The following is a 15,637-nucleotide window of genomic DNA, read 5'->3' on the forward strand; positions in this document are numbered from 1 at the left end:
ATTTGTGTATCTCAGTAATGAGGAAAGTCTCTACATAGCAAAAATATATTACCTTCTCAATAAATTTGATATTATAAAATTCAATTATCTAGTATAAATTTCATATTCAAATAGCACAAGGTATCCCGTATTTATTTTATAATTGTTTTTCTGGTTTTGGAAACAAGAATCAAACAAGGATTACAAAACTGAATTGACGTGTTTCTTTAAACCACAAGAGTCTCCCAACCCTCATTTTATAATTGTTGTAGTTCTTCATAGTATTGATTTAAAAAAAAAAAATCTTAGTGGCTTTGCAAAATATCCTGTAACTTTCATTTGTTTAATTGTTTCTTCATCATTAAAGTTACACCCTGCTGGCAACAATGCTACATAGATGATATTATGCCTTCTCAGCACTTTTCCTTAGAGGTTATCATATCAGTTTAGCAGATTTTTAATTTTCAGGTATAAATTCTTAAAATTAAAAGTGAAGAGACCGGAAGTTGCTATAATTAGAAATAACGGGCTAGAAAGTGAGCTAGATTAAGTTCCAAAATCGTAAGCCTAGAAGATTAAAATATTCTATTCGACATTTTTTAAGTAATCATTGACTATGTATTAGACCTTTTCCTGGTTGCTGGAAGATGTTTCAATGAATAACCTATAGCCATTACCTTAGAAGAGCTCAATATGTAAACAAAGATGATAAAGATTAATGCTAACTTTTAAAGATATAAGTGCTTAAATGAAGCTTGGTACAAACTTGCAAAACACACAGACAACAGTTACTATTCCTAGGTATGATGTAGGGAGTGGTCAGCAAAAGATAATAGCAAACATGACATTTCAGTTCTGTCTTAAAGACATTTCTCGCTGTCAAATAAATAGTATATATCCTAGATAGGTCAAAAGAAAATAATATCAATTCAATTGGATAGATATAGACAGACAAATAGAAATATATAATAGATAATGATGATGAAGACAGATGAAAGAGAGAAAGAATCATAATTTCTTAAAATGGAAACAAAAGGCATCTAAGAAAAGTCAGTGGCAGATAAGAAAAGGTAGTTTATTACGGGAACTTGGCAGTAGTATATGATAAAAACCAGGGACCAGCCTTTGCAGTGTGCAAAGTGGTCAACAATGAGGATCTATAAACTATAGTAGTGGTGTTCAGGAGATTGATTTGACAAGATATGCTAAACAGTTAAGTTTAATCATCATTTATTGATAACCAGGCACTAAGTACCTTGAGTTCAAAGATCACTAACATCAATGGTATTACTCAGTGCGACAGAAATAATATCACTATTTATCAAGTTTTGATGCACTGTGCTAAGCATTTTGAGTGCTCAGCACAAAATCTAATCCTCACAACAACCCTATACAGCAAGAGCATACATCTTTTTTGTGCAATGAAAAAGCTGAGACTAAGTCTGGCATTTTTCCAAAGGCCATAATCTAGAAACAACCAGGATACAAGTACCCTGACCCCAAAGCCTTTTTTTTTTTTTTTTTTGGTGAGTATGCTACAATCGAATAGACCTTTAAATTCCACGTCCTTGTAAAAATTCAAAATAAAATTGGGGGGTGGAATAGAAAACATATAACAGGTGATCCATTTTATTTTGCCAAATAACAATATTAACAATTATATACAAGCAAAACTATTATCTATCATAACCATTATTTCATAAAGGAGGAAAGGTGTTAACACTAAAACTTTTCAGAATGCAAGATATCCATTTACATTGAAAGACTTTTGAACTGAGAGTTATAGAATGTATCCCAATGCAATGTTCAGTACTTAGCTTCTACAAACTGATTAACTCTATTATTCAGACATTCCAATCTATGTAGTAGCATATGGAAACCAATATAATTACTGTCCAATGAATCAGATATAGCTCTGCGTATAAGGAGTTTGCATTCTAATAGAAATGTTTGGCACACAGGTAGACAATTGCAAGAAAATCTAGCAAATATATTACTGATATGGCACAGATGGAATGAAATTTGGACAAATAGCCCAATTTAAGAGTTTGAAAAAATATTTTTTGAATGATTTGTTTACAGAACTGACACTTGATGGATGAGTAAAAGCAAAAATCAGTGAAGAAAGATAGTCTTTATGTTTCAAATAGAGGGAGCAATCTTTATAAAAATTCAGAAGCATTAAATGTCATATTTTATAAGTAACTATAAACAGAAAATTTATACTGCAAAGCGAAATGTTAATCAGGGACTGGTAAAAGATTCAGTTGAAAAAGTGTAATTGTCGGTTTAGAGAGTTTTGGACATCTTTCTAAGGTGTCTGAATGATACAAACAGGAATCATTGAAAGCTTTTAAACAAAATGAAATAATCATACAAGCAGTGTGGAAGATAAATATAAAGGTAGAAAGAATGGCGTCTAGGTGTTGATAATTTATTGTTTTAGTTGAGGTTAAATGTGATGAGGGTAAGGCTTTACCTTTTAGTAATAATAGTAGCTAACATTTATTAATCACTTTTCAACCTCTATATGTATTATCTCACTTAATCTGGAAGCAACTCTGTTAGTTATCATATTTGTAGCTCTACTTTACAGATTAAGGAACCAAGGACATTGTTATAGGCCAAATTGTGTTCCATCAAAATTTATACATTGAAGTATTAACTTCCCATACTTCAGAATGTGACTGTATTTGTAGACAAGATCTTTAAAGAGGTAAAGTAAAGTGAGATAATATGGGTAAGCAATAATAAAGTATGACTGTTGTCCTTATAAGAAGAGGAGATTAGGACCCAGACAACACACTGACCAGGAACAACCCTGTGAAGATACAGCAGGAAAGCAGCCATCTGAAAACCAGCGAGCGAGGCCTCAGAATAAAACTGTGCCCGGAATTGGTTCCTTCTTGGTCTTGCTGACTTCAAGAATGAAGCCGCAGACCCTCGTGGTGAGTGTTACAGTTCTTAAAGATGGTGTGTCCAGAGTTTGTTCCTTCAGATGTTCAGATGTGTCTGGAGTTTCTTCCTTGTGGTGGGTTCATGGTCTCACTGACTTCAGGAGTGAAGCCACAGACCTTTGCAGTGAGTGTTACAGCTCTTAAAGGTGGTGTCTCTGGAATTGTTTGTTCCTCCCAGTGGGTTTGTGGTCTCACTGACTTCAGGAATGAAGCTGCAGACCCTCGCAATGAGTGTTACAGCTCATAAAGGTAGTGTGGACCCAGATAGTGAGTAGCAGCAATACCGTGATGAGTGAAAGAAGAAAGTTTCCACAGCATGGAAAGAGACAGGAGCAAGTTGCCGCTGCTTGCTCGCGTGGCCAGCTTTTATTCCCTTATTTGGCCCCACCCACGTCCTGCTGATTGGGCCATTTTACAGAGTGCTGATTGGTCCATTTTTTACAGAGTGCTGATTGGTGCATTTACAAACCTTAAGCTAGACACAGAGTGCTGACTGGTGCATTTTTACAGAGTGCTGATTGGTGCATTTACAAACCTTTAGCTAGACACAGAGTGCTGATTGGTGCATTTTTACAGAGTGCTGATTGGTGCTTTTATAAACCTTTAGCTAGACAGAGAGCGCTGATTGGTCCGTTTTTACAGAGTGCTGATTGGTGTGTTTACAAACCTTTAGCTAGACACAGAGCACTGATTGGTGTGTTTACAATCCTTTAGCTAGACAGAAAAGTTCTCCAAGTCCCCACCCGACCCAGAAGCCCAGTTGGCTTCACCTCTCAAAATCAATTCTGCTGACACCTTAGTCTTGGACTTCTAGCCTCCAGAAATGTAGGAAAATACATTTCTGTGGTTTGAGCCACCCAGTTGGTGGTATTTTGTTATGGCAGCCCTAGAAAACTTAATACAGGTATCTTAAGGTCCAGGGACTTATAGGTGGCAGATCAGGATTTAAACTAAAGCAGTCTAACTTCCAAGTTCGAGTTACTTTTGAAGCAGATATGTCCATCAGGAGGCTAGATAAGATATCTGGTCACAAAAAAATATTCAAATCTTCATGATCGTTATGTAAGTCTTCTGAGAAAATGTTTGCTAATGCCATGCAAGTGGGTAAGCTCTCTTAAATGTGCATGTAGAAAAGAAAAGCGAGAGCCCAATAGGAGACTCTGGAGGAACATTTTCTTTTAAGGAGAGGAGGAAAATCCATGAGTGAAATACAGAAAAAATAATAAAGAGTGAGATACAAAACTGAAAAGGAAAAACTAACATTACAAAAGCCAAAGGAGTCACTGATATTTAAGAAGTACTTTCTCCACAGAAGACGGACAAATTCTGTTTCTTTCTGACAAACTTATGACTGGAATTGTCTCAAAAGCAGCATTAGGGGAGTTCCCATAAGGGAGTGCCCCAAACCCTCTGGAAATGGGGCCAGTTGGGATTCCAAAGAAAGAAGCACTAAACAGCAGGGTGATCTAGGGTGATCTGTCCAAAGCATGTATTAGGAGAACTTACTTGTATGGTGCTGCAGCATATCCTCATGAAAGACAGAGAAAGAAAGCAATAATCCAGTAGGTATGTCTACAGTGGGAGAATCAGAGTATGGAGTTTGTATGACGGTTTAATGGCTAAGGGCCAGGGGTTGATTGTTTCAGTGCTTTGGGCAGCAACCTAGATATTTGTATCAGTTCCTAGGAATGTTCAAAGACTAGTTTTGCATTCAAGCCTGCTGGGAAAAATCTGCAGCTGGCCGGGTCACAGGGCAGTCAGGGCACTCTGTGTGTTCACTTAGGATTCAGAAGGAAAGTGGGAAAACTGGGGGACCTTACAAATGGCCAAGAGGTATTTGAAAAGTTGCTCAACATTACTAAGCAGTAGGAAAATGCAAATCAAAACCACAATGAGACAACACCTTATGTCTTTCAAGATGACTATTTTTTAAAAAAAGTATTGACCAGAAGACCCAAGATGGCCAACTAAAAGCACCTAGAGGAGCTTATCCCACTGAGAGACCAGGCCATCAAGAAGACTGGCATACCCTGGCAGACCTTCAGAAGGGATACACTGAGAGGGGACAGCGAGAGGATGTACACCCTGGGCTGAAGGGCTGAGGGAGAGGAAGCTGGGGACCCTGCATGGCATGGCCAACCACCAAGACTCATTCCTGACCTTGAGCAATTACTAGGGAATGGATCAGTTAAATAGATGTGGAGTGGCCTACTCTTGCCAGGGACCTCCAGAATCCTGGCTGCAGGATACTCAATTGCACACCTGGACATTTGAGCTGGTAGGGAGAGCTGCTTGGAGAGTTGGCAGGAACAGGACTCTAGCCTGTCCAGAGCCCAGAGGTTTTGCCATGGGAATGGCTACAGTGGAGCATGGCCAAGTATGCCTATACCCCCATCTCACCATGATCCTCTAGGTGGCTTTGGTCTTTGTTGACTGTTGAACCTTGACAGCACAGGGCTGCCTTGCCTGTGGGATGGAGTCATTCTGACCTTAATGCCCCACTCTCTACCAGCCTTTGCCAGGGCCCCTACCTGGCCATATCTGCTTGCAGTACAGCCTCGGATGCTCAACTGAGGCATTTCACAGCAGCCACTGCCACAACTACTTCACTGGCAGACCCCTACCTAACCATCAGAGAGCTTCTGCTGATGGTCCCCCACCAGCACAAAACCACCTGCATCCTCCCCCTAATACTTTGATGGTGCTCATTCAACTGCAGCCTACTACCAATACTTTGCTGATGTGCAATCATTCAGCTTCCTCTGACTGCTTTACCTCTGCATGTGAACAGATGGATCTAACACTGACTGCCCCATCCCTGCTGGAATACGTAAACCCCACTGTGACACTGCCTGCGACTGCAGGTGCATGCGCATGTGTGGACCCCACAGTGCTGCCTCCCTGCTGCCTCTGCCACATGTGCTGAATACCACCACACTACCACCCTGCTGCCACCAGCACATGTGCGTGAGCACAGACCCCAATGCCACCACCCCAACGAAGTGCTTTTGCCAGAACCACAAATCTAAGTGTTCCTGCTAGCCGACCAGGAACACCTCAATTCTTCCAGCTCAGGAGGTGCTCAACATTGAGGGGCCATAGAACAAATGCCATAGGCCTGGTCCCTGACCCCCAGGGTTAGAGCACACAGTCCGGGAGTGGTGAGATGAGCCTTGGCCTCCTGAAATGACACAAAAAGGAAGCCAGTCAACTGAACCCAAATTATACCATGATAAAGCCCTCAAAGACATCAAAGTTGAGAAATAACAAGCATAAGAACTCTGGCAACTAAAAAAGCAAGAGTGTATTAGGCCGTTTTCACACTGCTATGAAGAAATGCCTGAGACTTGGTAGTTTATAAAGGAAGAGGTTTTAATTGACATACATTACCACATGGCTGGGGAGGCCTCAGGAAACTTACAATCATGGTGGAAGCAGGCACTTTCTTCACAAGGCAATGAGAGAGAGAGAGAGCTTGGGAAGGAGAAACTGTTCAACACTTGTAAGACCATCAGATCTCATGAGAACTCACATACTATCATGAGAAAAGCATGGAGAAACTGCCCCCATGATCCAATCACCTCCCACCGTGTCCCTCCTGTGAAATGTGGGGATTATAGGGATCACAATTCTAGATGACAGAGTGTCTTCTTACCTTCAAACAACTGCACTAGCTCACCAGCAATGGTTCTTAACTAGACTGAAATGGCTGGAACAACAGATATAGAATTCGGAATCTGGATGGCAACAAAGATTATTGAGATTTAGGAGAAAGTTGAACCGAATCCAAGGAATCTAATGAATCCAGTAAAGTGATAGAAGAGTTGAAAAGACAAAATAGCCAGTTTAAGAAGGAACAAAACTGAACTGCTAGAGCTGGAAAGCTCACTACAAAAATTTCACAATACAATCAAAAATATTAACACAAGAATAGACCAAGCTGAGAAAATAATCTCAAAGCTCAAAGACCAGTTATTCAAATCAAATCAGACAAAAGTATAAAAGAAAAAAAAGAATAAAAATAATGATGAAAGCTCCAAGAAATATGGGATAATGTAAAAAGACCAAACCTAGGACTCATTGGTATCCCTGAAGGAGAGGAAGACAGAGAGCAAATTGGAAAACATATTTGAGAATATTGTCCACAAACATTTTCCCAACCTTGCGAGAGAGGTCAACATTCAAATTCAAGAAATTCAGAGAACCCCTGTGAGATACTATGTAAGACAACCAGTCCCAAGACACACAGTTATCAGAGTCTTCAAAGTCAATCCCAAAGAAAAATATCAAAAAACTAGAGATAAGAGGCAGGCCATGTACAAAGAGAACCCCATAAATCTAACAGAAAACCTTTCTGAAGAATCTGTGCAAGCCAGAAGAGAATGAGGGCCTATATGCATCATCCTTAAATAAAAGAAATTTCAACCAAAAATGTCATAGCCACTCTAAACAAGCTGCGTAAATGAAGGAGAAATAGAATATTTTCAGACAAACAAATGCTAAGGGTATTTGGTACCACCAGACCTGCCTTACAAAAGGTCCTTAGGGGCGAGCTAAACAGGAAAACAAAAGACTATTCCTGGCCACCACAAAAATCTATCTACATACATACACCATTGACACTATAAGCAACTATACGATCAAGTCTACATAACAACCAGCTGACAACACAGCGACAGTACAAAACCCACACATATCAATATTAACCTTAAATATAAATGGGCTAGACACCCCACTTAACAGTCATAGAGTGGCAAGACCCAACTATATGCTGTCTTCAAAAGACCCATCTCACATGCAATGACACCCATAAGTTCAAAGTAAAGAAATAAGGAAAAATCTGTCAAACAAACAGTAAGCAATAAAGAGCAGGGGCTGGTATTCTTATTTCAGACAAAAACAGACTTTAAATCAGCAATAATCAAAAGAGAAGAGCATTACATAATGATAAAGGGTTCAATTCAACAAGGAAATACTGCCATTTTTGATTTGTGACAACATGGACAAACCTGGAAATCATTATGCTAAGTGACATAAGACAGACAGAAAAAAACAAACATTATATGTTTCCATGTATACATGAATCTTAAATAGTCCAACTCATAAAATCAGAGAGCAAAATGGTGGTTGCTAGAGGCTTGGGGAAAGGGAAATGTGGAGGTTTTGGTCAAAGGTTGTGAAGTTTTAATTACGCAAGGTAAATCAGTTCTGGAACTCTACTATACGGCATAGTGTCTATAGCTAGAAATACTGTATTGTATACATAAAATTTTCTAGGAAGATAGATCTTTAGCATGCTTGCAACAAAAGAAAAAAATTATGATAAGAATGGGAGGAAACTTCGGGAAGTTGGGAGGTGATAGATATGTTTATGGCCTTCATGGTGGTGATGGTTTATGGACATATACTAATCACCAAATGCATCAAATTGTGGACATTTTAAATATGTATAGCTTTTTACATAGCAATCATACCTCAATAAAGTGTTTTTTTAAGCTGAAAGATAAATATTTAGTTGTGGTGTTTCATTATGTAAATAGGTCAAATTATCAATTATGTGACAGATATGGTTTAATATTTATTATGTATTAAGAAGCATTCCTATTGTTGATGTTGAAAGGAGCAGTTTCAGTGCTATGATGTTGAGAAGGACATGGGAGTGGTAAGTGGGAGAACACAAGTGCAGTCTTCTAACTTTGATGTGAGGACGGGAGAAGAAATAACAGAAAAAGTAAAAAGCGGGGAAAGGCCTCAATCAAGAGGAGTGAGAGTATGTTTAATTCATACATTTAAGTTTGTCATGTAAATTTTCAGCAGAAAAATATAAGACAAACTTGGAGCTGCTGCTAAGGGCAGGAGATTTACTTGTAGGACCTACCAACAGATATGTAATAATTAAAATTAGGAGTGAATGAGAAATCCAAGGGAAAGGAACAGAGAGAGAAAGAGGAGAAAGTGACACAGAAAAAAGAGAGAGAGAGACAGACAGAGGTGTGCAGAAAGCCAACGGACAGGCTTTATAGTAGAAATGTAGAGATTTCAAAGGTTGTCAGGAAAGTATTAATAACAGTCATAGAACTGCAATTGTCCTCATTTACAGAAAGTTAAGAGAAGGATCTGTGAATATATATTAGATGACAGGATGAGAGGATTTTTTATATTAATACTACAAATTCTGTTGGTAATCATAATAGAAAAGTATTGTAATGACAGATTCACCTCTATTCCCTAAAAATGCTTATTCTTCTATTTGCCTTCTTTCCCATTTATATTGTTGATTCATACAGGGCTCACCAGATTCATTAGATTTTGTAAAGTACACATAGAAAGTGCTTAATAATATTTCCCAGTATGATTAAAAAACAGTAAAAAATAGGCCGGGCAGGTTGGCTCATGCCTGTAATCCCAGCTCTTTGGGAGGCAGAGGCAGGTGGATCACCTGAAGTCAGGAGTTCAAGACCAGCCTGGCCAATATGGTGAAACTCTGTCTCTACTAAAAATACAAAAAATTAGCTGACATGGTGGTGCACACCTGTAATCCCAGCTACTCGGGAGGTGGAGGCAGGAGAATCACTTGAATCCAGGAGGCAGAGGGTGCAGTGAGCCGAGATCATACCACTGCACTTCAGCCTGGGCAACAAGAGATAAACTTCATCTCGGAAAAAAACAAAACAAAACAAAACAAAAAACAGGAAAAAAAAGGCATAAATTTGAATATAAAATACAACTATGAATTGTACAACTGCAAGAAAGAAAGTTATGGTACAAAATTGACATTTTTAAAGGTTAACTATATACAGAGTTCTATGTGTAATCTTTAATTATTCCAAATATTTGTGGGGAAACAAAGCTGAGCCATAAAGAGATTATTATGCATATTAAAACACATTATTTTAAATTTAAAACTGACATGTACTCAACTAATTAGAATGGGAATCAAAAGCCTGCCTATCTTGAAGTAGGGGTAGGGTAGATATCACACCATTACTAACATGGTAGTTAGGTAGGGGAAAGCTCCCGGAAAACAATGTGTGTAATGGATGAATGGATCTTTAGGCCCCTCACTTATGCTTACAGTTATGGCTCTTTATCAGTTAGCACCAAAATAATTTATACACATACGTGAATGTGGATCAGAACTACTTTGCCATATATGATACGCCCCACTAAGATTTGATTTCTCTTCAATCTTATAACTACTGCATATGCAATATGGTCATCTGGTAACATAAAATGTTTTTCATTCACAAACAAAAAATGTTAACAGAACATCACTGTCAACATATTTCAATTGCAAGGCAAATGTCCGTTAACAAGGACATAGATGACAAAAATATTGAAACACTTTAGAATCACAACTGAAATAGATAATGTTACATTTTAGAGTTGTTATCATACGGATATTTTGGATCTTATTAAAGTATTGTGAATTATAATTAATTTTCTCATCCTTCACCACTTAACCAAATTTTAGAAAAATTGTGCTGAAAGTTAAAAGCAGTTATGTTCATGCATTTTAGTATAAAGGGAATCCCTATGACTACATTTGGTATTTCAACTGTTTGTTCAACCACCAAAATCCATTCCATATGCCAAAAATAACATCTTCAAAATTTCACAGCATAAAGTCATTTTCAAATTCTCCACAATGGAGTGTAACAATCTGCTGAATTTTGCCAAGTTATATAAAGGAAAAATGGACTTGATTTTTTTGGCTTAAAACCATGTTGTTAAAATATTTTAATATGTTAGACATAATATTAGAAAATATATTCAAAACCATGATTTAAGAATGTTACTTTGTGGTTATTTGTGGGATAAATATTATTCTTGATTAGACCATAATATGTATTATGTATTCTATCTTTTAAGCTCTTTTACTAGCACATAATTCAATACTCTTCAATGTTTCTGATGATGAACACTAGTAATGGTTATTATCACTACTGTATCTAATTTTCAGCTCAATGCTTCCAGAGATTTTATGTATTAGGGGAAAATGTAGAGCATAGCTATGAAACAAAGTTGCCTCAACACATAAGTGAATTTCAACTTACTGTAATATAACACTGTTTCATTTTTAAAGTGTCTATAATATACCTTATCATTATAATACATTTATTAGACAGATAAGGCAGGTATCTATATTCTCATTTTAGAGATGAAGAAATGTAAAACAAAAAGATTAAATGAACTCTTTAAGGTCACAAAACAAAAGTAACAGGATAAGTATTAAATCAGGTCTTTTGACAAATACTGGCCTCTTTTCACCATGCTTCTCCAGAAACAAAGATACTTCATTTTATGCCGAAGTTGTTATTTCAGGAATGTCCTTAGTGCTTTCTTGAAATTAGTTGAGTCAACAAAATGCATCAATCATGGTAATTTTTAAAACGAGAAATAATTATTTTTATTGCAACGCAAACTGAGGCTTGCCAGATTTCTATTGTATGTTAATTTCTGTGAGACTAACTTTAATGCCTACCTGCAGACACAGGGTACACATTAGTACAACATCATCGTGTACCATTTTTCTTGTGTATAGAACAATTTAAAAAAATATGACTCAGCAGGTTAAGCAATGAGCTAGAAACTTCAGGCTCTGTGAATTCTAATCTCTAGTACCTTGGTGGTAGCTAAAATATAAAAATGTGAATGGTTAAATCCCATCTGTAGTTAAATTTAGCCCATTTAGCTTAGGGAAAAAAGGGCTACATTTTGGGTAATAATTGTATTTGAATGTTCTTCCTCCCGCTTGTATTCTCTAGACAACAACTAACCTACTGATGACCTAAGAATCCCCTGTTGAGAAACAATTACAGTTAAAATTCCCTAACAGGAATGAGATATGAATAAGGGTTATGTGTGACAAAACTGTATCCATCTCCCGCAGATGGCCCATAGTAACAGTGCCCTAGCGATCTGATTGATTCCTATAATAAATAATTTTGGAAAACAAATGCTTTCTTATCATGCAGCATGTTCTAAAACCATTCCTGTAAGTAAACTTGAGATAATGTGTTTTTTGAGTTCTTACTTCCTTCTCACAGCTGCTACCATGAAAGCAGTTATCCTTTCCACTCTGCCCCCAACAACAACAATAAAAGCTCTCTTCTATGTCTCTAATTGAAATAACTTACAAAAATATAAGGGAATTTGAATGAGAAAATAATAGAATGATCCCTAGGAAAGGAAAAGTAAGGCAATATTTCAAATCCTCACATTTAGGGAGAGAATTGGTGGGAGGGGAGACTACAGAGCTAAAATTGAGTAGCTAGTTCTCAATGAGAGCTCAAGAAAGTAACAGAGAGGAATGGAAATAAGGCTGAAATGAATAAATGAATAAGCAGTAAGTTGAAAGACCCATAAGAACAGCTATTCATCCCCCCTTTACATCCAAACAAATAAAACTGGCTTTAATGATTCAATAATCCACAGTGAGGACGATGGACATTATTTTGTTATATTTATCTCCCTTTGAAATTTACCAAATTTAATAAGATTGTACCAATTTTTACTTTCAATCAAAGGAAATCAGATATAAATACATATATATATTTTTTTCTATTTTACTGATTTCATCTATACATCATACATTTACACCAAGTCTAACACTCTTTCTAGAACAGAAGCAATCTGTGGATGTTCATTAGGGTTGTCAAAGTACCCCTATTCAGGAGAAAAAAAAAAGTTATTTCTCCCTCCTGACTCTTTTCCCTTTTTTCTTCCTTTCTTCCTTTTTTTCTTTTGTTTCATTCCAGAACGTGTACTGTTTGCCAATATGTCAGTGTATATGTCTCTATATAATGCTGATTGTAACTTAATTTTCCTCTGTAGCTAACAGTTTTATCCAAGGAAATTTAAGAACAAACCAAGCACAATAATGTCTTAGTTCATTCAGGCTGCTATAACAAAAATACCATTGACTAGATGGCTTATACAACAAACATTTATTTCTTGCACTTCTGAAAGCTAGGAAGTCCATGATCAAGGTGTAAACAGATTCAGTGTCTGGGAAGAACCTGCTTCCTGGGTCATAGATGATCTTTTTTCTATGTCTTTACATGGCTGAAGACAAAAGAAAGCTCTCTGGGGTCTCTTTTGTAACAGCATTAATCCCACTTAGAAGGATCTATCCCCATGAAATACTCACCTCCTAATACCATCTCATTGGGGGTTAGAATTTCAACATATGATTTTTGCAGGGACACAAACATTCAGTTTATAGCAAATGATTAGGTGGTGTCTCTCTACCCATGTTGATGTATTCTTAGAAGAAAGATGGAAATAATCTCTGCTAGTTTACTTAGTGTGAAAACAAACAAACAAAAAATCTCCCACCCTGTGCATAATAAAAGAAGTACTGGTACTTTTCTGGGTTCATAGAAGAGCCAAATTATGAGACAGAAGCAGCCATGGTAATGCTATGTTTTCCAATGGCTTGCCAAAATATTTTACATACCGAAGTTTGTATTGTTGTGACATGAGAAGTGATAGAGTCAAATCTAGATTATCAGCACCACCTCTGGACCTTTCTATATGATGGAGGCCTTGACCTTTCCATCTTCAACACGGTCATTTTAATCCTCCTCTGTGTACTCTGAACCTCCTAAAACAACAGATGGCTCTAAGTTAGTATAGTAAATTAATATTCCTTATGTACTATTTCACACCAAATTTTACTTAGTATTTTATCGATGTTCAACATTTGTTATTATCTTAGAACTTTTACAGAGAAATTATTTCATGTGTAGCCTCTGACTTATACAAATAATGTTCTGATTTTATCTTCACCTTTAAAAATTCATACATGCCAAAATACTTTTACATACCTCTTGAACTACAAGTTTAAGAATCATAAGTTTGGGGACACTAAATTTGAGGGGAAAATAGATTCTGAGGATCGCTGATCAGCCCTGAGACAGTTCTCTAACGCATTTCTCTGGACGCTAAGAATTACTAGTTTTCTGAACATAGTCCCTACTCATATAATGTCTACTGAGGGAGACATATATATAGTTTAAATATACTCAAGAATATTATTTAAAATTATTTAAATGTCACAAAAAGAAAAATGATCCTGTCTAAATAATAATAATATTACTAACTTTATGTTAAAATTTCTGAGGAAATGGTAATTAAGTTAGTATCTTAAAGACCTTAATTACCTTAAACATACTTAATTCAATAAGAATTAGCTAGTGGTAATTATTGGCTAAAAGAAGGGCACAAGGGTTGAGGTGAATTTATTCATATGGGAAGAAAAGGCTTATACAAATTTTCTGATAGGCAAAAGAGGTACTAGTACATTACAGAAACTGAAATTAGATTTTTTCAGTTGAACAAGTAGGGGAGTCATGTGAACAGAATTTAAATTTAGAAGCATGAGGCAAATTACACAGTTCTTTAGAGACATGTTAATGAACCACATTTTAAAACTTCCAAATAATAGGAGAAGTCTTTGGTACTAATTATGAATTAATGGTATAAAATACTTAATTTTAAAATAACATTTTGCTTGTCATGTGGATATTGAATGAAAGGGTGTTACATTTTTTTCTCTCTCCAGTCAATGTAAAAAAATAAAATTCCCTTTGTGAGTGCGCTACAAGAAAAAGCAACAATGGCAAACATGTTTCTTAAACCAGAGGGAATGTATTACATTTCTCAAAAATAAAAGCCAAAATACACAATGCTGTATCAGAAATACCATACACACTAGCCAAAGATAAGAACAATAGTTCTCAACTGGGGGCAGTTTTGCCACCCAAGGGAAGTTCGGCAATGTCTGGAGATGTTTTTGACTCTGATAACTTGGGAGATGGATGTTGCTACCAGCCACTGAGTAGAAGCCAAAAATGTTGCTAAACATCTTACAAGGTACACTATAGCTCTCCACAACAAAGAATTTTCCACTCAGAAGTGTCAATACTACTGAAGTCAAGAAACTGTGCTGTTTATTATCAAGACCATCACTGTACTATTAGTATCTTCCCATGAACTCTCTCTTCTGTAACCATTTCCTGGTCATCAAATGACCAGACCAGGATTATTCCAAGGTTGAGGACAGCTTGGATCCTTCCACGATGAGGTAGACATGAATCTATAATGCAAAGCAATTTTCTGCTTGAATCAGTCATATTGTTTCTGCCAAAATTAAGCTCTGATAATCAAAATGACTAATGGTGAGTTTCAGTGTATAATATAATCAATTCTCATTTTTGAGTAAGAGACTAAAGTAAGCTGGAGTTCAGGCAGCAAGGAAATTCTTGGGTTAGCTGCACCATGTTAGATGATGTTTGGCTGGCCTTGTGGTGAAGAGAGTGAGACATTGAAGAGATCAAATCAGATTTACCATTCAATGAAAAGTGTTTAGGGGGGTGTGTTTGTGTGTGTGTGTCTGTGTGTGTGTGTGTGTGTGTGTGTGAAATATTTGCAATAAAACACACCTTGTGAACCACTAACTACTATATGGCCTTTAATCTAAAATACATTGTTTTAACCTTGGGCTTAATAAGTACTTTATTTTCACTTTAAAAATAATAATTTAAAAGCCTATATATTCTATTGTGTCTCCAGGTCACAATAAATTGAAATGTAAATTCTAGTGTAAAATCCACTGCAGTAGTAAGAAAACAATCGCTATGGCAATGTAATCATGAGGTTCTGTATAGTGTATTGAAATGACATTTCAACTCTAC

The 15,637-nt window shown here is 36.6% G+C and overlaps 1 long non-coding RNA gene across 1 annotated transcript in view; it reads right to left on the bottom strand.

The window, feature by feature from the left end:
• LOC107986901 (uncharacterized) overlaps positions 1-15,637 on the bottom strand; it is a 34,966-nt gene that overhangs the window by 12,269 nt on the left and 7,060 nt on the right. Inside the window, exon 2 of the long non-coding RNA XR_001745735.2 lies at positions 13,399-13,545. This is a non-coding gene — a long non-coding RNA (uncharacterized LOC107986901). The remainder of the gene's footprint in view (positions 1-13,398; positions 13,546-15,637) is intronic.

This window comes from Homo sapiens, chromosome 8 (genome assembly GCF_000001405.40).
Source record: "Homo sapiens chromosome 8, GRCh38.p14 Primary Assembly".
Classification (NCBI taxonomy): domain Eukaryota; kingdom Metazoa; phylum Chordata; class Mammalia; order Primates; family Hominidae; genus Homo; species Homo sapiens.